Raw genomic sequence first — 24,424 nt, forward strand, 5'->3', positions numbered from 1 at the left:
GCTGATATACAAAGTCTTGCAAATGTCCCCTAACACAAAGGAAAACTGAAGCAAATTATGGTAAGGCAGGCCAAAGATACACCATGTAGCCATCGAAGTGCTGCTATGAAAGAATGTTCAGTAATATGGGACCCTGGGACACTGTATTGTGGTGACAAAAGCAGAATGCAAAATAGCAAAATTGCACCAAACATATAGAATATAATGTGTGTTCATGCACTAAGTACTGGTGACCAGTTTGAGAATCCCATGTACATTGCCATCACTTGCAACCTGCAAAAGAAGGGGAAAAAAGCAGGAAAAATGCCTAATATTATGGGTATTTGCCCAACCCAGCCAATGAGGAGTGCCTGTGTTTCCAGGGGAGAAGCAATCTCCCTGGTTTTGCACAGAAGGGACCTGTACGAGTTGAGCGAACCACGTTGAACAGCCTTATTTTTCCATCCACTTGAGATAAGAGACCTGATTGCCAGCCCTTCCCACTGCCAGCAGTTTTAACTTACCCCTCAATCAAACGACATGTGCAAATGCTTAAACATGGGGTGCAATGGGCAAGTTAGAGCCTGTGGTCTCAGAAAGCCACAAAGTGCTACAGAGACAAGAAAAAAGAGCTGCACTTATAGGAAAGAAACTCATGCTTGTAAAAAGAAAAAAAAAAACATTTTTAAAGGGCCATTCCAGTGGCATGAGCAGGGATCACTGAAGATGCTACTACAGCTGGGAAAATACTAACTCCATGGCCCATTCTAGGCAAAACAATGCAAATAGTGGTCTGTGGAGAGAGGATGAGATAAAAACATTTACAGCTCACAGCCAAGGAACAATGCGGCTGGAAACACTAGGGATGGAGGAGTGGCCAAGCTTGAGGCAGCAGGGTGTCACATGACATCCTGAACATAACCTGCTGTGGCATTAGCCACCCAGACACTAGTGTCAGATGGGCCTGATCCAAAACTTGGCTTCACCAGTAACAGCTTTGTCACCTGGGAATTTGGCACAGCCCCTGGCAAGCAATAGGTGCTCAGTGAATACAGGGTAAATGAATGATGGGCAAGACAACGTCTTGGGGCCTCCCTTTCTGCAGTGCCACATGAAGACAGTCAGACCCACACCACACAGTGTTATTATGGGCATTACACTGGACACTGCTAATAAAGCCTCTGCTTGGCTCATTCAGTAAATGTGTAGGATCCAATATATTATTCATAAAAAGGAGGCAGCTTCAGTACCACACTCCAAAAGAAATGGAAAATCTGCCAAAGAAGGAGGGAGAGAAGGGAGAGAATCTCAGGCAGAGGAAATAAATACAAGTCCGCCCATTTGGATCCCCAGCCTTAGATAATGAAATATAGGGATTCTTTTTCTTTCTCTTTTTTTCCTAGTCATGGATGTCTTAGAGAACTCTGGTGAAGTCTATGGATCTTCTTTTCAGAATGTTTTTAAATGCATAAAATAAAATAAATAAGCTTGCAAAGAAACCAAACAGTTATCCAAATATTTTAAAAATTGTATCATAGGCTGGGCACAGTGGCTCATGCCTCTAATCCCAGCACTTTGGGAGGTGGAGGCGGGCAGATCACGAGGTCAGGAGTTTGACAGCAGCCTGGCCAATACGGTGAAACCCTGTCTCTACTAAAAATACAAAAATTAGCCAGGCGTGGTGGCATATGCCTATAGTTCCAGCTATTTGAGAGGCTGAGACAGAAGGATCGCTTGAACCCGGGAGGTGGAGGTTGCAATGAGCCGAGATCACGCCACTGCACTCCAGTCTGGGCAACAGAGCAAGAGACTCCTTCTCAAAAAAAAAAAAAAAAATTGTATCATAGTAATATATATGCTGCTTTATCAATGCACGTGTCAGCAATCTTTTTCCAGCCAGACAGTAAGCATTTTAAGCACTGCAGGCTAGAATACCTCTGTTGCAACTGTGATATGTAAATAAATGGGTTTGGCTGTGTTCCAGTAAGTTTTATGTACAAAAACAGGTGGCAGCTTGGACATAGTCCACAGGCTATAGTTGCTGACCCCTGTATTAAAGCATTAAATAACAAGATCTGTTGTAAGGTCTAATAACTACCATAATTTCTAATTAGGCATAAGATGATAAATGATATTTAGAGATAACTGTGATAAACAGTAATAAATGGATGTACTTTAATTTCTGTTCATAATAAAGGCACAGATACTGCTTATCCTATCATGGCTTGTTGCTGACATTTGTGATTCAAGCAATGAAAAGTTTACGTTTTTATATGGCTGTAGTGTTCCTCCTACATAAGTTCATGAACCCCAGGATAAAATAGTAGCTTTTCATTGTACTTGGAAGGAGATCCAAATTCCCACTATAGTTTAGAAGACACTGTGATGCAGCCCTAGTCAACATCGACAATTTCTCTGGTACCTCCTCTCACTTCCAGCTCACTATCCTGTTCCCTTTTGTTCTCTAACACACCAAGCTCTTTCATGCTGCAGGACTTTTCTGCTGGCTGTTTCTTTTCCTACAATGCTAGGGTCTGGCTCCCTGTTATCCTCCAGTCTTGGCTCAAATGTCACCTTTTTTTTGTTTATTTGTTTGTTTGTTTGAGACAGAGTCTCACTCTGTTGCCCAGGCTGGAGTGCAGTGGTGCGATCTCAGCTCACTGAAACCTCTGCCTCCCAGGTCAAGCAATTCTTCTGCCTCAGTCTCCCAAGTAGTTTGGATTACAGGTGTGCACCACCACACCCAGCTAATTTTTGTATTTTTGGTAGAGACAGGGTTTCACCATGTTGGCCAGGTGGGTCTCAAACTCCTGACCTCAGGTGATCTGCCAGCCTTGGCCTCCCAAAGTGTCACTTTTTTTTTTTTGAGATGGAGTTTCACTCTTGTTCCCCAGGCTGGAGTGCAATGGCACGATCTCGGCTCACTGCAATCTCTGCCTCCTGGGTTCAAGCGATTCTCCTGCCTCAGCCTCCCAAGTAGCTGGAATTACAGGCATGCGCCACCATGCCCGGCTCATTTTTGTATTATTAGTAGAGATGGGGTTTCTCCATGTTGGTCAGGCTGGTCTTGAACTCTCCACCTCAGGTGATCCGCCCACCTCATCCTCCCAAAGTGCTGGGATTACAGGCATGAGGATTACATGCCCCACCTTGTGTCACCTCTTTAAAGAGACCTTCCCTGATACCTTAAAGCAATCTTGGCCAAGGCCTACAGATGGACAACCAGGGCCTTGCAGAGTGAGGCTGATTGCCCCAAGCTGGCACAACCACATTGCGAAGATGGAGAACCCAGACATTAACCTTGGTTAGCACAAATCTTGATGGCGGAATGACTGCCTTAGTGTATAAGTTTTGACACTCATATGGTTGGAGGATGAAAGGCCTTAAGCCCTCAATTCTGGAAACCATGTACACCCACATGTAGTCTTATTTTTTGAAATCTGGTTGTTTATAAACATGAACCTAGGCAAGTCATATTTCTGGGTCATACTTGAACCTATATTCTATGGCCAAGCACTTAGCAGGGTAAACCAAAGCAGCAACACCTACCACACTCTGCCCCCATGTCTTTTTTGGGGGCTGTCCTACTCCATTTTCCTCATAGCTCTTACCTCGATCTAAAATTAATTGCCTTGTTCGTTTTCTAAGTCTTTCCTGTCAGTTTCCACACCCAAAAGAACAGATGCCCAAGAAGAATGGGCATCTCCATGTTTAGTTCATCACCAGTGCCTTGAATGGTGCCTGGTATATCAAATGTGTTCATCAAATGCTTTTTGAGTGAATAGAATGAATATTATAATCATAACAGAGTCTGGAACAATAGTGAAAATATCTATAAACTAAAGCTCACTGGTAACAACCCCTTCCCCTCTCTCACAATCCAAATAAATTTCAAACCATCTTTCCTTTCTTTCCCTATGCTATAACCTTCAGTCAACGAGTGGATATTTATTTCATACCTACTATGGGCACACTTATTATTAAGCATTTTTTAAAAGAGAGAGTTGAGATATATTTGCTCAGGTTCCACTACCAATCCACATGTCTGCAACACATCCTGCACAGAAATGAACCATCTGTCATCAGCTGTTCACTAACGCCACAGCACCAGGCAGCCTCAACACTGAAGCAAAGTTACAAACAGCCCCAGGCATCTATAACTACTGTGCTCTGAGGCTCAAAAAGCTGTCCAGAACCATTCCCAGAAATGCACCTGCTCCAGCCCTAAGAGGAAGGGCCTAGTATGAGACGAAGAGAGGATGCCAGAAAGAAACCCCAGACAAATGGGATCTGGACTGACAGCTGGAAGCAAACAACCCAGCAGCACACACCAGAGAAAGAATGGGCTTTCACTTGCATTGCATTCGAGATTTTTTTCCCTCTATCTTCTCTATTTTCTCTTTTTTTTGCCAGGAGTGAAATTAAAATCTGAGGCTTTTCTGGAGGAGTTAGTAGGGATACTAGGTGTCAGAGGAGAGAGTTAAACAGTTCAACATTACAAGCATTAAAAACTTGTCTTCATCTTACCTTACCACATTAGCTTTTCTCCTTTGGCCCTGGACCACCCACACTATGCTCTAGGCCTTGCCTCCAGATCTGTTGGGAGGGACTAATGCAACATAGGCCTAAGCATAAGTAAGACAGTGAGCAATTGGGAAAGCCACGCTAATTCAATTAGGATGGGTGTTTTCCTTAAGAGCTGATCCAAAGATAATGACCAGAAAAAGCATTTATTTTATAGACTTACTCTCTGCCATGAATGTGGCTATCCAGATGAATTAATTAACTGATATTAAGAGACATATACTGGGTGAATTAAGTGCCTCTTTCACATACAGGCTCTATAATGAGATTTTAGTTTTTTAGTATTAAAAAAAATCCTGCTAAACAAGATAACATACGTCAGAGAAACATTAGCTGATGTAAAAGGAAAGGCTCTCAGAAAAAGGTAAAGATTTAGCTAAAACTAAGTTCAAATCCAGGGTGTACACTAGTCATATATAATCATATTAAAATTATGTAATCTCTGATACTTATTTTGTTAATCTTTAAAAGATGATAAATACATCTCAGTGTATTTGCAGAAATTAATTAAGCTCAACAGAATTTGCTATACACAGAAACTATTCAATAAGAGCTATATAAACAGCTATAAACAATGGAAGTGCTTAAAACACGTACAATTTATGATGGATACAAAATTCTGAGGTACCTAGGCATATATCTTACTAAATATACGTATAAAAACTTTAAGGGCAAAAATGGTTAAGCTTTATTGAAAATGTTAAAGAATATTCTAATAAATAGAACAATATATTGTTTTCATAGATGGGATAGGCAATATCTTAGAGAATGCAAATTTTTCCCAAAATTAGTCCATAAATTCAATTCAATTTTAATCAAAATTCTAATGGGATTTGACAAGCATATGCTAAAATTCATATGGAGGAGTAAAAGGCAGAAGCAGGGTGATTTTGATGATGATGATGATGATGACAGAGAAGAAGAGGAAGAACAGAGGAAGAGAAAAAGAAGAACAAGAAGATGATGACACTGAAGAAGAGAAGAGAAAGAGGAAGAAAAAGGCACAGACATTCACTCTACTAGAAATCTAGTCTTGTTAGTTGGAAGCTATCAAAGCTGTATGATAATGGTACAAAATAGAGAGCCACAGAAACCCCTATATTCACAAAACCTTGACATATGAAAGAAGTGACAATGCAAGTCATGGAAGTGGCAGATAGGTAATGAATAATGCAATAAACAGTGGTAAGACAACTGGCTGTCTCCATCAAAAGATAAAATTAGATCGCCATATAATACCCCCTACACACACTTTCAAAATAGATTGATGACCTATATGAAAATCAAAACTTTCTAACTTTTGAAATAAAACACAAGAGAATCTCTTTAAAATATATAGCTAGAGAAAGTGCTTTTAAATAAAATGCAAAAAGCCCAAGTAACAAAAGGGAAAAAAGGACAAATCTGATTGATTAAAATGGTCTTATAAACCTCTGTTTGACAAAAGACACAATAGAAAAAACAACTATGGACTGGGTAGAAATTTAGGAAAAAGAATTTGTGTCCACAACATATAAACAACTCCTGTAAATCCATGACAATGAAACACTCCAAACCCACTATTGGACAAAGAATGTATAGGCAGTTTATAGAAGGGAAAACTGACTAGATAATAAACACAGAAAAATATGCTCAGCCTCAGCAGTTGGAGAAATGCAAATTAAAGACACGTAGGCCAGGCGTGGTGGCCCATGCTTATAATCCCAGCACTGTGGAAGGCCGAGGTGGGTGGATCACCTGAGGTCAGGAGTTTGAGACCAGCCTGGCCAACATGGTGAAACTCCGTCTCTACTAAAAATACAAAAATTAGCCAGGTGTGGGGGTGGGTGCCTGTAGTCCCAGCTACTCAGGAGGCTGAGGCAGAAGAATAGCTTGAACCCGGGAAGTGGAGGTTGCAGTGAGCCGAGATCACACCACTGCACCGCAGCCTGGGCTACAAGAGTGAAACTCTGCTCCCTCTCCCTCCCCCTCCCCCTCCCTCTCCCTCTGCCCACGGTCTCCCTCTCCCTCTCTTTCCACGGTCTCCCTCTGATGCCGAGCCGAAGCTGGACGGTACTGCTGCCATCTCGGCTCACTGCAACCTCCCTGCCTGATTCTCCTGCCTCAGCTTGCCCAGTACCTGCGATTGCAGGCGCGCACCGCCACGCCTGACTGGTTTTCGTATTTTTTTGGTGGAGATGGGGATTCGCTGTGTTGGCCGGGCTGGTCTCCAGCTCCTAACCGCGAGTGATCCGCCAGCCTCGGCCTCCCGAGGTGCCGGGATTGCAGACGGAGTCTCGTTCACTCAGTGCTCAATGGTGCCCAGGCTGGAGTGCAGTGGCGTGATCTCGGCTCGCTACAACCTCCACCTCCCAGCCTCCTGCCTTGGCCTCCCAAAGTGCCGAGATTGCAGCCTCTGCCCGGCCGCCACCCCGTCTGGGAAGTGAGGAGCGTCTCCGCCTGGCCGCCCATCATCTGCGATGTGAGGAGCCCCTCTGCCTGGCTGCCCAGTCTGGAAAGTGAGGAGCGTCTCTGCCTGGCCGCCATCCCATCTAGGAAGTGAGGAGCGCCTCTTCCCGGCCGCCATCACATCTGGGAAGTGAGGAGCGTCTCTGCCCGGCCGCCCATCGTCTGAGATGTGGGGAGCACCTCTGCCCTGCTGCCCCGTCCGGGATGTGAGGAGCGTCTCTGCCTGGACGCCCCGTCTGAGAAGTGAGGAGCCCCTCCGCCCAGCAGCCACCCCGTCTGGGAAGTGAGGAGCGTCTCCGCCCGGCAGCCGCCCCGTCCGGGAGGGAGGTGGGGGGGTCAGCCCCCCGCCCGGCCAGCCACCCCGTCTGGGAGGGAGGGAGGTGGGGGGGTCAGCCCCCCGCCCGGCCAGCCGCCCTGTCCGGGAGGTGAGGGGCGCCTCTGCCCGGCCACCCCTACTGGGAAGTGAGGAGCCCCTCTGCCCGGCCAGCCGCCCCGTCCGGGAGGGAGGTGGCGGGGTCAGTCCCCCGCCTGGCCAGCCGCCCCGTCCGGGAAGTGAGGGGCGCCTCTGCCCGGCCGCCCCTACTGGGAAGTGAGGAGCCACTCTGCCCAGCCAGCCGCCCCGTCCGGGAGGGAGGTGGGGGGGTCAGCCCCCTGCCCGGCCAGCCGCCCCGTCCGGGAGGGAGGTGGGGGGGGGTCAGCCCCCCGTCCGGCCAGCCACCCCGTCTGGGAGGTGAGGGGCGCCTCTGCCTGGCCGCGCCTACTGGGAAGTGAGGAGCCCCTCTGCCCGGCCACCACCCCGTCTGGGAGGTGTACCCAACAGCTCATTGAGAATGGGCCATGATGACAATGGCGGTTTTGTAGAATAGAAAGGGGGGAAAGGTGGGGAAAAGATTGAGAAATCGGGTGGTTGCCGTGTCTGTGTAGAAAGAGGTAGACATGGGAGACTTTTCATTTTGTTCTGTACTAAGAAAAATTCTTCTGCCTTGGGATCCTGTTGATCGGTGACCTTACCCCCAACCCTGTGCTCTCTGACACATGTGCTGTATCCACTCAGGGTTGAATGGATTAAGGGCGGTGCAAGTTGTGCTTTGTTAAACAGATGCTTGAAGGCAGCATGCTCCTTAAGAGTCATCACCACTCCCTAATCTCAAGTACCCAGGGACACAAACACTGCGGAAGGCCGCAGGGTCCTCTGCCTAGGAAAACCAGAGACCTTTGTTCACTTGTTTATCTGCTGACCTTCCCTCCACTATTGTCCTGTGACCCTGCCAAATCCCCCTCTGTAAGAAACACCCAAGAATGATCAATAAAAAAAAAAATAATAATAATAATAAAAAAAAAGAGTGAAACTCTATATCCAAAAAAAAAAAAAAAAAAGGAACTGTTAAATTTAAAAACTTTTTTCTATCATAATCAATTTCATTCCTGGGTTTCACAATATAATTTTAAGTTTTCCACTAAGATTTTAATTAAATAACTTCTGTAGTCTATATCTTCTTTCATATATATAAAATTGAGATTTGCTTTTGGTGTCATTGAGTAAATTTTATACAGTTATTTGAACTAAGAGTTATCAGTTGTTACTGCCCTTTTGACACCATAAAACTTACACTCTTGAATTTGTTATCTGATGTTTTCTCTCATTCAGATGGCATATACTTTTTAAAATACAGGTAAAAGATTAATATATTTTCAGAATCAATACAAATCTGGAACTATGTTTACGTTGACTTCACACTGCAAGAAGATCTTGATCTGCCTGTTTAATTCTTTGCACATAACCCACTTTTCTACTCATAGGCTTGGGTATTCTCTCCTTTGCACCTATAATCCCAGCTACTTGGGAGGCTGAGACAGGAGAATCCCTTGAACCCGGGAGGCGGAGGTTGCAGTGAGCCGAGATCCTGCCACTGCACTCCAGCCTAGGTGACTGAGCGAGAAGCCATTTAAAAAAAAAAAAAAAAGGACAGGAGAAGTCCCATGGTGTCCTAGCCATGGCTAACATTAGCCAGGCTATGCAAACAAGCACTGGTCAGGGTGACGGGAATAGAAAAGCTGATAATTGCGGGTGGGACTGCAAGCTAGTAGAACCACTTTGAAAAGCAGTAAAGTTGAGAATGACCTTCCCTCTAATCCAAAAGCTTTCTACATTCTATTCTAGAGAAACTTTTAAACAGCCCCACACAAATACATGCATAGTACAGTATTCTTTGTGATACCAAAATTGAGGAAACAAGTGATTATTGGTTAAAAAAATGGATAAATCAACTGTGTTTTATTTATGTCATGGGATATCATAAATTCATCTCAGGCCAGGCGCGGGGGCTCACGCCTGTAATCCCAACACTTTGGGAGGCAGAGGCAGGTGGATCGCCTGAGGTCAGAAGTTCGAGACCAGCCTGGCCAACACAGTGAAACCCCTTCTCTACTACAAATACAAAAATTAGCTGGGTGTGGTGGCAGGCGCCTGTAACCCCAGCTACTTGGGAGGCTGAGGCAGGAGAATCACTTGAACCCAAGAGGCGGAGGTTGCAATGAGCCACAATCCGCCATCGCACTCCAGCCTGGGCAACAACAACAAAACTCCGCCTCAAAAAAAAAAAAAAATTCATCTCAAAAATATTACTGAGTGAAAAAATTAAATGCAAAAGTTACCTAGAGTAGGATATCAATGCTTTAAATTTTAACACATAAAACAATTCTTGATATTATTCATAAGCACATACCTATGTAGAAAACCTATAAAACATTCATGAGAATGATATACTTCAATTTCAGGCTACTACTTACCTCTGGGGAGAGAGGAATAGAAGGAGAGATAGAAAATTTGATAGAGTAAGGTTTTAGCTATGCTTGGAAGGTTTTTTAAAGGTGATGCAAAACAGTAGGCAAAATGTTAACATCTATCAACATCCAGACAGTGGGCTGTACAAGTGTCAGTTATATCATTTTTTGTAGTTTTTTGATATGTTTGAAATATTGTATGATTTAAAAGTTTTTAAATTACTACTTAAATGAATTCTGACTTTAAAAAACAGTATCACTAGCACAAAACTCATCTGTCTGAAACGATGGCTGGATTTCTTACATCTATGCTTTACTTTGTAATGAGAGAACAATTAAAGATAAACATACACTTTGAAACAATGTACTGACTATAAATTAGCCTTGCACAATCTTGCTTTTCCTTTCCCTGCCAACAGTTACATTCTTACAACAACCAAAATGCAGTCTTTTTAAAAAGCACCTATTAGTCAAGACAGTTGTTTTCAAATAATGGAAACTTTTTGTTCTAGAAGGAGGAAAAAAAGCTCAGATAATGCCTCAGAGCCCAAATAGAGAAAGAAGTATTGTATCAACATTAATATGTTTTTTGAGCTTAGGTTTGTCAATGTATATTTTATTAAGGTAATAGGCAGGAATAATAAGACTTTTATTAACATAAAAACTCAATCTCTGATATTATAGGTGATCATTATAATAATATAGCAAGCTTCCACATTCAATACGCTTTTGTGTGTTGTTGCCTTACTTAATGTGGAGGAAACGTGAATACATTCCCACCGTGTATTTACCAGTTTTCCATTGCTGTATAACAAATTACCAGAAATCTAAGAGTTTAAAACAGCACAGATATATTTATCTCCACAGTTTCTATGGATCAGGAGTCTAGCACCTTTTAGCTGTCTCCACAGTTTCTATGGATCAGGAGTCTAGCACCTTTTAGCTGGGTGTCTGTGAGGGGTGAAATCAAGGTGTCAGTCAGCTGGGTCCTCATTTGAAATTCAGAGCCCTCTTCCACATTCACTCAGGTTGTTGTAGAATTCATTTCTTGTGATTACACAACCAAGATCCCTCTTCCCTCTATTTCCCACTGGCTGTTGGCCAGGGACCCCTCTCAGCTCTGAGAGGTTGATCTTAGGGCCTTTCTCTGTAGCCCTCTCCACAACATGGCAGTTCGCTATTTCTCGGGGCCAACAGGAAGACATCTCGTTAATGCTTCACCTTCTTTTAAAAGTCTATCTGATTAGGTCAGGCCTACCAAGATATTCTCCCTTTTGATTACTCCCAAATCGACTGATTGAAGACCTTAATGACACCTACAAAATCCTCGTTGCCATACGCTGTGACACAATCACAGAAGTGATAGCCCCTCTTATTCACAGACCCAGATCACATTCAAGAGACAGGGATTAGATGGGTGTGTAACACTAGGGGTGTGGGAATCTTGGGGCCATCTCAGAATTCCACTTACCATATCATACACAAGGCATTATCTGTCAACACAGAGCATTAGCTGGAAATTGCTTTTAAAAGTTTACCTTGAAATCTCAGGAATCTTTCCAGATACTTGGATATTTATTTCATCATGTAAATTTGTATAAATAACATCTAATCTCAACTCCTTTCTTATAATAAATACTGGAAATCGGGGAAAAGTACTCAAAACTTACAGAAAAGAGGAAAATTAGGTTTTCTCTTTCATTAGACACCTGACATGCTCTCAAGCCAATACGCCTGAACTATCCCTGACCTTCCATGAGCCAAGGACACAGGTGCAGCAGCAGCGAACTTGCTGAGATGATTTTTCTTGAGTGGGTGGATTCATGCCTGATTTAAGATAAAAGCAATCTTCCCAGTCAATGACATATTTTATAAGAAGTGTAAATATATGCATGGGGGAGGAGGAAATGAAATGCTTTATATTGAGGCTCTCTCAAAATCAACTTAGCCTGGCATCTTAATAATAATAATAAAGCTTGCCTTCACTGTGCTCCTATCCATTATCAGAGTTTACGCTGATTGTTTTATTCATGTTTAAATCATTCAAAACAATATTTTTAAAGGTTGTATAAGTCAACTCCTTCTGCAATTCCTGAAGCACCTGTGAAAAGTTGCTGAAATGGAACTTTCTTCACAATAATATAAAAGATCTTATTTCAGTTCCAATTCCGGCATTCAGAAGCTATGTGACCTAAAACTCCCAAATGTCTAAGACTACTGTGAATCCTAAAAGCTTAAATGAAATAACTCATGAAAGTGCCTGGCACCTAGGGGGTCCTCCATAAATGATGGCCACATATACCTAGATGACACAATTTCTTTGACTCATCATTCAACTTTTATCAATAGTTTATAATGAAATAGTTAAGGAACTACATAAAGACTTACTTTGAAGAATGGCCCCTTTAGCACTGCTTGAAAAAAAAAAAAGACAGAGAGAGGAAGATAAACAATTTAAAAGTCCAAATACAAAGAACTGACTTCAAGAATTGAGTTGAATTCTTTTCAGCCATTAGGAAAGTTTGACAAATAAATAGGAAATATGACTCACTGAGGAATGACTATGGGCCAAGTGCCTTGCAAACTGTGTTGTTGGCATTACCTTGTTTAATCCTCATTATATAATAAAGTAGGCTGAGTATACTAACTACTGTGTTATGATGGCTGCTATATATTAAGTCTAGAGCTGTGAAACAATGTGTATATTTTACACACTTGTAAAACACAAATATACTTCTAGACTTAAATATGTTTGAAGTAGATACAGTAGAATGCCATTGGTTTTCTCTAAGTAATAGGATTTTGATCTTTTTTTAATTTACTTTTTTCTAATATGTCTCAATATGCCTAATCTGTGTAAATGTTTTTTGAAGATACTTGAGATTTTGTATCTGCTTGCTTCAGAGCAGCAGACACTGAAAAAAGAATGCTTTATACTAGTTGTATTAAATCAGTAAAGTGGTACCTCATTTTTTAGCATCTAAAAATCTAAACCTAACTACAGTGCTGACAAGTCTAGAGCTACAAGAGAGGGGGGACCTGAACATCAAAAAGGTAGAATAAAAGTAGGTGGACAAGACTAGGAAGTTTTTTTTGTTTTTTTTTTTTAAGAGTTTTTTTTTTTATTATACTTTAAGTTTTAGGGTACATGTGCACATTGTGCAGGTTAGTTACATATGTATACATGTGCCATGCTGGTGTGCTGCACCCACTAACTCGTCATCTAGCATTAGGTATATCTCCCAATGCTATCCCTCCTCCCTCCCCCGACCCCACCACAGTCCCCAGAGTGTGATATTCCCCTTCCTGTGTCCATGTGTTCTCATTGTTCAATTCCCACCTATGAGTGAGAATATGCGGTGTTTGGTTTTTTGTTCTTGCGATAGTTTACAGAGAATGATGATTTCCAATTTCATCCATGTCCCTACAAAGGACATGAACTCATCATTTTTTATGGCTGCATAGTATTCCATGGTGTATATGTGCCACATTTTCTTAATCCAGTCTATCATTGTTGGACATTTGGGTTGCTTCCAAGTCTTTGCTATTGTGAATAATGCCGCAATAAACATACGTGTACATGTGTCTTTATAGCAGCATGATTTATAGTCATTTGGGTATATACCCAGTAATGGGATGGCTGGGTCAAATGGTATTTCTAGTTCTAGATCCCTGAGGAATCGCCACACTCACTTCCACAATGGTTGAACTAGTTTACAGTCCCACCAACAGTGTAAAAGTGTTCCTATTTCTCCACATCCTCTCCAGCACCTGTTGTTTCCTGACTTTTTAATGATTGCCATTCTAACTGGTGTGAGATGGTATCTCATTGTGGTTTTGATTTGCATTTCTCTGATGGCCAGTGATGATGAACATTTTTTCATGTGTTTTTTGGCTGCATAAATGTCTTCTTTTGAGAAGTGTCTGTTCATGTCCTTCGCCCACTTTTTGATGGGGTTGTTTGTTTTTTTCTTGTAAATTTGTTTGAGTTCATTGTAGATTCTGGGTATTAGCCCTTTGTCAGATGAGTAGGTTGTGAAAATTTTCTCCCATTTTTGTAGGTTGCCTGTTCACTCTGATGGTAGTTTCTTTTGCTGTGCAGAAGCTCTTTAGTTGCCATTGCTTTTGGTGTTTTGGACATGAAGTCCTTGCCCATGCCTATGTCCTGAATGGTAATGCCTAGGTTTTCTTCTAGGGTTTTTATGGTTTTAGGTCTAACGTTTAAGTCTTTAATCCATCTTGAATTGATTTTTGTATAAGGTGTAAGGAAGGGATCCAGTTTCAGCTTTCTACATATGGCTAGCCAGTTTTCCCAGCACCATTTATTAAATAGGGAATCCTTTCCCCCATTTCTTTTCTCAGGTTTGTCAAAGATCAGACAGTTGTAGGTATGCGGCGTTATTTCTGAGGGCTCTGTTCTGTTCCATTGATCTATATCTCTGTTTTGGTACCAGTACCATGCTGTTTTGGTTACTGTAGCCTTGTAGTAAAGTTTGAAGTCAGGTAGTGTGATGCCTCCAGCTTTGTTCTTTTGGCTTAGGATTGACTTGGCGATGCGGCCTCTTTTTTGGTTCCATATGAACTTTAAAGTAGTTTTTTCCAATTCTGTGAAGAAAGTCACTGGTAGCTTGATGGGGATGGCATTGAATCTGTAAATTACCTTGGGCAGTATGGCCATTTTCACAATATTGATTCTTCCTACCCATGAGCATGGAATGTTCTTCCATTTGTTTGTATCCTCTTTTATTTCCTTGAGCAGTGGTTTGTAGTTCTCCTTGAAGAGGTCCTTCACATCCCTTGTAAGTTGGATTCCTAGGTATTTTATTCTCTTTGAAGCAATTGTGAATGGGAGTTCACTCATGATTTGGCTCTCTGTTTGTCTGTTGTTGGTGTATAAGAATGCTTGTGATTTTTGTACATTGATTTTGTATCCTGAGACTTTGCTGAAGTTGCTTATCAGCTTAAGGAGATTTTGGGCTGAGACAATGGGGTTTTCTAGATATACAATCATGTCATCTGCAAACAGGGACAATTTGACTTCCTCTTTTCCTAATTGAATACCCTTTATTTCCTTCTCCTGCCTAATTGCCCTGGCCAGAACTTCCAACACTATGTTGAATAGGAGTGGTGAGAGAGGGCATCCCTGTCTTGTGCCAGTTTTCAAAGGGAATGCTTCCAGTTTTTGCCCATTCAGTATGATATTGGCTGTGGGTTTGTCATAGATAGCTCTTATTATTTTGAAATACGTCCCATCAATACCTAATTTATTGAGAGTTTTTAGCATGAAGGGTTGTTGAATTTTGTCAAAGGCTTTTTCTGCATCTATTGAGATAATCATGTGGTTTTTGTCTTTGGCTCTGTTTATATGCTGGATTATGTTTATTGATTTGTGTATATTGAACCAGCCTTGCATCCCAGGGATGAAGCCCACTTGATCATGGTGGATAAGCTTTTTGATGTGCTGCTGGATTCGGTTTGCCAGTATTTTATTGAGGATTTTTGCATCAATGTTCATCAAGGATATTGGTCTAAAATTCTCTTTTTTGGTTGTGTCTCTGCCCGGCTTTGGTATCAGAATGATGCTGGCCTCATAAATGAGTTAGGGAGGATTCCCTCTTTTTCTATTGATTGGAATAGTTTCAGAAGGAATGGTACCAGTTCCTCCTTGTACCTCTGGTAGAATTCAGCTGTGAAGCCATCTGGTCCTGGACTCTTTTTGGTTGGTAAGCTATTGATTATTGCCACAATTTCAGCTCCTGTTATTGGTCTATTAAGAGATTCAACTTCTTCCTGGTTTAGTCTTGGGAGAGTGTATGTGTCGAGGAATTTATCCATTTCTTCTAGATTTTCTAGTTTATTTGCGTAGAGGTGTTTGTAGTATTCTCTGATGGTAGTTTGTATTTCTGTGGGATCGGTGGTGATATCCCCTTTATCATTTTTTGTTGTAAGACTAGGAAGTTTTTAAAAAGATGGCTAATAACTCAATAAAGGAGATGGTAGTGAGGAAGAGATGGAGCAAAATAAGAATGAAGTCATGGAGAGAAGGAAAGGAAGGAAAAACAATCAGAAGGAAAAGGGCCAGAGGAGAAAGAAAAATAAGCATTAGGGAGCAGAGAAAAAATGAGAAATGAGAATATATCAGAAAAAAAAAAAACTATTGGAAGAGGAAGTTATTCTCTCCTCTTTATCTCCTAATGAAATGAAAAATCTCAGATAAGATCACAATGAATCACTTTTAAAGTTTGTGTTTTGTAGTATTTCTCCCCCATAGGAGTTCAAAAGCAAATGAAGCTTGTGCTTGATGACCAAGGTTGCCTTGACTTACGCCATTCCCAGAGACAGTAAAGAGCTGCAGTTCACCCACCCACCCACCCCTCTCCAGCCCTTTCTCTCAGTCAAAGCACCAAGAACAAGGCTGCCTTGGAAAAATAAAGAATCGTTACTGCTTTACAAGTGCAGTTGATGGCAACAAAGCAGTCACTTTTATTTTTTGACTTTAATCTTCAGACATGGTAAAGGCGGTGAATCCCAATTTCTCCCAAAATTGTGCTCAAAAGAAGGTGTAAATATCAAAGTGCCAAATAAACTCCCTCTAAATTTCTTGGTTTACACGATTATTGTTCCCCCACCCCACGTTTAAAAGAAGCAATAGATCTCTATCATTTATCAATGGAGAAAATTACCTCACTGTTGCTGCTCTATGTTTGTATGATGCACACTTTCTTCTATTTTTCTTACTTTATCTCTTTGTCCTTCCTCTTGGTTTAAAAAGTTAAATAATTGCAAAAGTAAAAGACACAGTTTAACCTTCGGATAACTTCTGGAAAATAGTATACCTATCTGACAACTTTTCCCTGAAAGAGAAATGTAAAGAAATGATGGGTGGTTTAATTAAAAAGCCCCCAGATTCTTTGCCACTCCTTCCATGGGGAGGAGGAGTCTATGTCCCACCTCCATTCCCCTTTTTTTAAAGACAAGAGTCTAGCAATATTGCCCAGGCTGAAGTGCAGTGGCTATTCACAGGTACAATCACAGTTCAACACAGCCTGCAGACACCTCAGTCCCCATAGCTGGGACAACAGGTGTGTGCCATGCACCAGGCTATGTCTCATCCCCTCTAATCAGGGCAGGCTTGTGACTACTTGGAGAGATAAAGTACAGCAGAAATGATCCTGTAAACCTCTAAGGCTAGGTCATAACGAGCCATGCAGCTTCTGCTTGGTTCTCTTCAAACACTCCCTCTCTGGAAGTGCCCTCTTGTTGGAACTCCTTCTCAGAACATTGCCACCATGCTGTGGGGAAGCCCAAGCCACATGGAAAGGACATATGTAGGGCACTCAAGTTTACCATCCCAACTGAGCCCAGTCTTTGAGGCATCCAAGCCCAGAAGCCAGACATGAGTGAAGAAGAGGCTTCCAAATGATTCTAGCCCCCAGCTATTCATGTCTTCCCAGTTGTGACTCCAGACATCAAGAAGAGACAAGCCATCATGGATGGGAAGATGTCATGTCCAAATCCTGGCCTGGAGAAACAGTGAGTATAAGTAATCATCTCTACTGATAATGAATTTTTGCTTTAGGTTACTAAATTTGGGGTGTTTTTTAATGCCCCAATAGATAACCAGAACAATGGGGATCAGAAAGAAACAATCAGACAATAAATTATTGTAACTTGATTCTGATCACAGTGGAAAGAATGGGCAACCTAGGGCCCTAATGTTACTGAGTGTCACCTCCAGAAAAGAGTTGCAGGCACACTACCTTTCCTGGGTAGAGATAAGTTCATCTTCCTCTTATCTCTCCCCAGACTTTCCGCCTAACTTTCTACCTTTCTTCTATTTCTCCTTTTCTTTTTGGTCTTTTTCATGCCTGCCCCCTATGCCTGCCCTTGGGTCACCAGTTTATGCTCATAGTAGATGTTCGTTATTCCATTAAACAAATGTTTATAGAGCACTGTGCTAGACACTGGGATAACCGAAGTAAAGGAATCTAGCTTTGTTTCTGACCTTGTAGAGCAAAGAGTGTAATGAAATGTTTTTCCATCTGTGGAGCACAACCATCAGTAGTCATAAAATCATCCTGATGGGTTCTAACAAATATTTTAAAAATAGAAAACAGACTAAAAACAACAAAAAGGCATTCCAAGTAGTAAAGTCACTATTTTTTCATCGATATTTCATTTACCCATGACACACAAACACACAAAAATATACACAGTGTATATTTCAAAACTTTGCCCAACATAATCTGATTGCTGTTCAACAATAAATCTCATTTTAGAAGTATAAAAACATGAACAGGAGTATGCTTAGAAGATCTGCAATTAAGTTTCTGGCCTTGAAACAAATTATAAGAATCACAGAGCCATTCTTAGAAGTAATCTTCTTTACTAATAATGGTTTTTGCTTTTCACTGTAGTTAGTTTTGTTTGGAAAAAGTGTTCTGGTGTTTTTAGGGTCATTTTTGGTAAAGAAGTGCCTGTTTGGAGGAAACCCACGTGTCACTCATTCTGTATCTGAGCATTACACAGTTAAATGTTTCAGTACTTCAGTCAATCTATTCATTAGTTTCATAGCTGAACTGGAGAACATGGAATGATCATGACCTCTGGCATTTGTCCTTGCCTGCAATTCTAGAGGCAGTTGCATCTTACCAAGCATAAGCTAGGGAGCCTAAGCTACAAAGTTAGCTGCCTGTGTAATCATCTTGTTATAGCCTCTATCCAACCGTCAGTGTAAACATTAAATAACATGTCATAAAACCCACCGACATCTGAGTAATGCTGGTGGCGGTCGCTGCCCTGCTCTTCCGAGCTCCCTCTCATTTAGGTGACTCAACTTAGGCTGTTTTTTTTTCTTCATCCTGAAATAAGTATATATGCTTCCAAGTCCTCTCTAGAGGAAACATAGCAAATGATTTAAAATGATAGCTCCCATCCAGTTCCCAAACTCTAATTAGAAAAGTCTAAAACCACCCAAAAATGTTTTTAGAGACAGCTTCAGAAAGTCTACTGCCAATTTAGTTTGAGTCACTATGAGCAAAGACACCAGGGCAAAAGAGGGGTGACGATGATGGAAAGAGGAATGGCTGGCTGAAGCCCAATGCCAGGGCTGGATAGCTCCTAGGGGAAGTCAGGACAATCTGAGGAGGGTGTGTGAGGGTGTGTGTGTGTGCGTGTGTGTGTGTACATATGCACTTCAATTTTCACAAGTTGTGCTTGATGGATTGAGAAAGGGCAGAGGCGTCTGGGCACGGCGGCTCACGCCTGTAATCCCAGCACTTTGGGAGGCTGAGGCAGGTGGATAACCTGAGGTCAGGAGTTCAAGACCAGCCTGACCAACATGGTGAAACTCTGTCTCTACTAAAAATACAAAAATTAGCTGGGTGTGGTGGCGTGCGCCTGTAATCCCAGCTACTCAGGAAGCTGAGGCAGGAGAATCGCTTGAACCCGGGAGGTGGAGGTTGCAGTGAGCCGAGATTGCGCCACTGCGCTTCAGCCTGGGCGACAGAGCGAGACTCTGTCTCCAAAAAAATAGAAAGAAAAGAAAGTAAAACACTCTTGGTTCACGATTTCTGTGTTGCAAGCAAACTAGATGGCATATTTCAGAGTTTTTCCTGTTTTCCAAAATTGCTGCTCCAAGTTTTGTTTTAAGTGGCTTGTTTTCACATACGTACAGAGAATTCTAACTGCAAATAGTTGCATTCAGTTGTTCCTCGGTTATTGGAAAATGTGTCACCACAGTGGAGTGTGACTGTGCAAAGTTTTTCCTTTATTTAATGAAAAAGCGTGTGGGGGGTAGGGGAGAAAATATCGGCAAGGTTTCTAAGTCAGTGCCCATGTTTTCCTTCACAGAAGCTCTAAAGTTTTGTATGTATGTAAGCCAACAATTCTCTCTACTCTTCTGTGATGCTGCTCCCACAGAGCCAACTGCCTGAAATAAAGAACTGAAGATGGTGAGTCATGTGATTATTAATGGATCTTAGCCTAGGGTGAAATAAAGTAAAACTCACTTTCTCAAAATTGAGCAGTAACATAATTTTGAGTACATTATCTCTCACAAACACCATTTGGTTCTTAGAGGACGTTATTTGCTATAATGAGAACAAAAGTGATAATACTTTGAAACTGTATTACTGTTTGATGATCTGCATCGTGATGGTTATTTGTATATTATAAGGGACCAGACGGTCTCTGTTCCTTATTTCCCTTGTATCTTTTAAGAATTTTTGGTCAATATCCAGCACAGTACAGATAGTGTGTGTGTGTGTGTGTGTGTGTATGTGCATATTTCTTTTCAAAAGGTAATTAATCAGTTGTTGCAGACTGAAAGCCAAACTAAACTTTTTAACACCATTTTAAGACTCTAAGAGGAACATTAAGATTCATTTATTCACTCTACAATTTCTCCACTGTGAATAATCTTAATGTGTATGTGCGTCTTCTGGTAATTGAATTAACCAACATCATACATAATTTATTAAGCAACTAATTGTATTCTTATCTTACAAAGAAAACTATGTAACATAAAACCCACAATCTTCCAACACCTACATATTATATTCACAGAACCACGTGAGACACAGAGCTGGAATATACAGTTTTTGATTGTAAAGTACTTGGAACCTTGCTGAGAGGAAAACATAAATCAGCACAGAAATAGTTAAACAACAGTTCAAGACAACGATAAAGCGATGTAGGTCCTGATCAGCTAACAGATACCTGAGAGAAAAAGAACTAGTAGACAATAATACCTGTAGCAGCAGAGAGGAGGGGTAGAGATTTATAAGAGGACTGAATTAAGAGACGAATCTCCAAAAGTGGGGCTACAGTTATGTTAGGCAAGAAGCCAGGGTTTCTTCCAGCTCAAACAATTTAGGATTGGTAAGAAGAGGATGAACTGTTGTCCTGAAATGGCAGTCATTTAAATGATATTGCTCCTAGGTGTGTGTTTGTTTCTAAGATTCAGCTTTCGAAGCAAGGAGTATGTCATTTCATCTCTTTATCCTTAGCACCTAATCTAGTACCTGAAATAATAGGAGGGAGATAAAGAGAACTGAATTCCAGGTTAGTAAAGCTACACCAAGGAGACAAATCAACATATATTTAGAGAACACTACAGCAGTTTGGCTAAAATTGAAGGAATAAGAGAAAGAATAAAATTGAAAATGTTGACTTGTGATGCACCTTGAACACTGGCTTAAGAAAGGAGGTTGGACTTCATTCTCTGTTGGCAACAGTGGAAACCAATCAGAATGACACCCTCAGCTCAGGGAGTGCATGGGGAGTCCATGCCTACAAGCCAGTATGAATTCAAAATATGGTTTTTCATCTCATGCAGGAATAGTGGAAAGATCCAAAGGCTGCTCACTGTTCCACTGGAAAGTGTTTGAGCTTGGTACTAGGACCAGCTGTACTTGTTAAAGATGCCTGAACCTTAGCCTTGAACTACAGAATCCAAATCTCTAAATTTGGAGCCAAAATCTACATTTAAGGCTAAGAGCTTTGGAAGATGAAAATACTGGAGGTGGAAATATCACAGCTTTGCTATCAAAAAAATAAAGCACTGCAGAACTCTATGAATATAATAAAAACCATTGCATTGTACACTTTACATGGGCAAATTCTAGGGTGTATAAATCTTACCTCAATTATGATGTTAAAAAAAAAGAAGAGTTCATATCCTAGTCAAAAGGTTTTTTAAGGTACACAGAATCATATGGTCAAATTATAAACCTAGTGACTCAAAAATCATATTCCTAATAATCTCTTCACACAGGACCCCTTCTAATTACCCCAATGACTGGAATTGTTATCAACCCAATCTTCCTCTAGATTGAAAACTCTATGGAGACAAGGACTGTACCTTAATTATCTTTCTCATTGCAGCACATTAACTGTCAAATCTGGGCAAATCCATTTCTCCTTCTTAAAGTCCTATGCTAGGAGTGTCTGAATCCTAAAATTAGGTATGTCCAAAGGGGAAGTTAAAATTTGATATAAATTAGTCAGGTGACATGTTTTGGCTGTGTCTCCACCCAAATCTCATCTTGAACTGTAGTTCCCATAATTCCCACGTGCCGATGGGAGGTAACTGAATCATGGGGGTGGTTACCTCCATTCTGTTCTCACAGACCTGATGGCTTTATAAGGGGCTTTATAAGGGGCTCTCCCCACTTCACTCTGCACTTCTCCTTGCTGCCTCCATGTGAAGAAGGACATGTTTGCTTTCCCTTCCACCGTGATTGTCAGTTTCCTGAGGCCTACCCAGCCCTGCGGAACTGTGAGTCAATTAAACCTCTTTCCTTTATAAATTACCCAGTCTCAGGTATGTCCTTATAGCAGCATGAGAAAGGACAGGAATGAATACATCAGGTAACCGAATATTAACATTTTATCAGGCTGTGTAAACAGGCAAATTTATCAAGAAGATATCACTTTGGAAATAAATAAAATGAGCTGTTTTATTCAACTGCAGTGTATCATTACTACCCTCAGCCAAGCTGTCAAGGAGATAATAGATAGTAAGCTCTTCGAAGGCAGACATTTAAGACTATCATCTCGTTCTATGTTTTCCTTGGACTCAAAGTGCTACCCAGCATTTGTTGTCAATCTCTATGCGAATTTTAAAACAACCATGCAGCTGGGTGTGGTGGCTCACGTCTGTAATCCCAGCACTGTGGGAGGCCGAGGCGGGCAGATTACCTGAGGTCAGGAATTAAAAGACCAGCCTGGCCAACATGGTGAAACCCCATCTCTACTAAAAATACAAAAATTAGCCGCGCATGGTGGCACATGCCTGTAATCCCAGCTACTTGGCAGGATGAGGCAGGAGAATTGCTTGAGCCTGGGAGATGGAGGTTGCAGTGAGCCAAGATTGCGCCACTGCACTCCAGCCTGCCCGACAGAGCAAGACTCTGTCTCAAATAAATAAATAATTAATTAATTAAAAAATAAAACACCCATGCATTCTTTTCCTCTCCATTCAACAGTTTTCTCACTGTTTCTGCCATAGGCTGACAATTCTTCCAACAGAGTGTATTCAGAGTAATCACAAGGAAGTCTGCAATCCAATCGTTTGTCATCAAGTCCAGCTTAAAACCATCTCAAGGCTTCCCTATGATCTTAGGATGAAGTTCAAGATCTTTAAGATGACCTTAAAAAGCCTTGACAATCAGGGCATATGCAAAACTTTCCAGCCACATCTGGATGGTCCTACGCTGGCTTTATCACTATTTCTCTGCACACCATCAATCTAGCCCACTTTAAGAGGTTCCCATCTATCCTCCCTCCTTTCTTTCTAGATCTCTGCCTAAATGTCACTTCCTCAAGGCTTAATTAGGCCCAGACACTCACATTTCTCCTTTGTGGCACTCATTGTCACTGTAACTGGTTAATTTCAGGTAAAGATTTATTTTGTCTGTGATTATCAGGAAGGTTAGAGATATCCCCAGGGTTTAGCACAGTACCTGGCACACACTGGGGAGTCACTTCTAGTCTCCTCTATTGGATGTGTTCACATGTGGCTTTTTTCCTCCCAGCATGTCCATTTCTCTCTGGCTGCCCAGATGATGAGTGGCAGAGCCCAGATAAGCAGCCTGTCTAGGAGAGTCCAGTGCTTGCCAAAGGCTGGGGACAGGAATACAAGCAGCCTTTGGGCATCCACGCAACATCCATAGCAGAAATCAGGTTTGGTCATCAGGCAAAAAGGAAATAATTGGGTAGCAAGACATGGGTTTAACAGAGGAGACCCATGTTAGGCATGTTAGGCATGTTAGGCAGCAGGGTCTCAGAACAGGAAGAAGAGGCAGCACAGGAGAAATGCTTGGAGTCAGGAAACCCTGAAGAGATAAAGGGACAGGCCAAAGGGAAAAGCAGTGTATTAGTCCGTTCTCATGCTGCTAATAAAGACATACCTGAGACTGGGTAATTTATAAAGAAAAAGAGGTTTAATGGACTCACAGTTCCATGTGGCTGGGGAGGCCTCACAATCATGGTGGAAGGCGAAAGGCACATCTTACATGGCAGCAGACAAGAGAGGGAATGAAAATCAAGAGAAAGGGGTTTCCCCTTATAGAACCATCAGCTCTCAAGAGACTTATTCACTACCACGAGAACAGTACGGAGGAAACCTCCCCCTTGATTCAATTATCTCCCACCAGGTCCCAACCACAACACGTGGGAATTATGAGAGCTACAATTCAAGATGAGATTTGGGTGGGGACACAGCCAAACCATATCAGGCAGGAACATTTTTCTCCACCCATTATTGCCTGTGGACTGGCCCAACAGGAGCTAGCCCAGGGCTGCTGGTGTGTCTTGCTGAGGCAGCCACAGTGACTTCAGTTGATCAAATCCAGAGTCCTTCACCAAAGGCAGCACGAAAGGGAATGTTGTATAGGGTATTTGGCTGGTTTAGGAAATTTACAGCTTTCCTGGGCGTGAGTTTGCTCACATTAAAATGCCTGCCCTAGAGAAAGCTCTTTGATTGAGGGTAACAAAGACAAGCATAAAGTGATTTAAGCAAAGGGGCGGGGACTGAAAAGTCACAGCAGGTCTCTCACAAGGATGCAAAGACAGGAAGCACAGAAACCAGAGCTGGAAAATAGGACTGCAGGCTTCTCTCTGTCCA

General features: G+C 41.8%; 1 protein-coding gene across 14 annotated transcripts in view, besides 1 other annotated feature; it reads right to left on the reverse strand.

Annotated features, from left to right (window-relative positions):
- ELMO1 (engulfment and cell motility 1) overlaps window positions 1-24,424 on the reverse strand; it is a 596,421-nt gene that overhangs the window by 432,491 nt on the left and 139,506 nt on the right. The gene's annotated exons all lie outside the window — the stretch shown is intronic.
- Window positions 649-943: a silencer, noted in NCBI's record as "tiled region #7000; HepG2 Repressive non-DNase unmatched - State 24:Quies". NCBI's record gives its function as "represses a minimal TATA promoter and a strong SV40 promoter by Sharpr-MPRA in HepG2 cells {active_cell/tissue: HepG2}" and the evidence as "EXISTENCE:reporter gene assay evidence [ECO:0000049][PMID:27701403]".

Source organism: Homo sapiens, chromosome 7, assembly GCF_000001405.40.
Source record: "Homo sapiens chromosome 7, GRCh38.p14 Primary Assembly".
Lineage (NCBI taxonomy): Eukaryota > Metazoa > Chordata > Mammalia > Primates > Hominidae > Homo > Homo sapiens.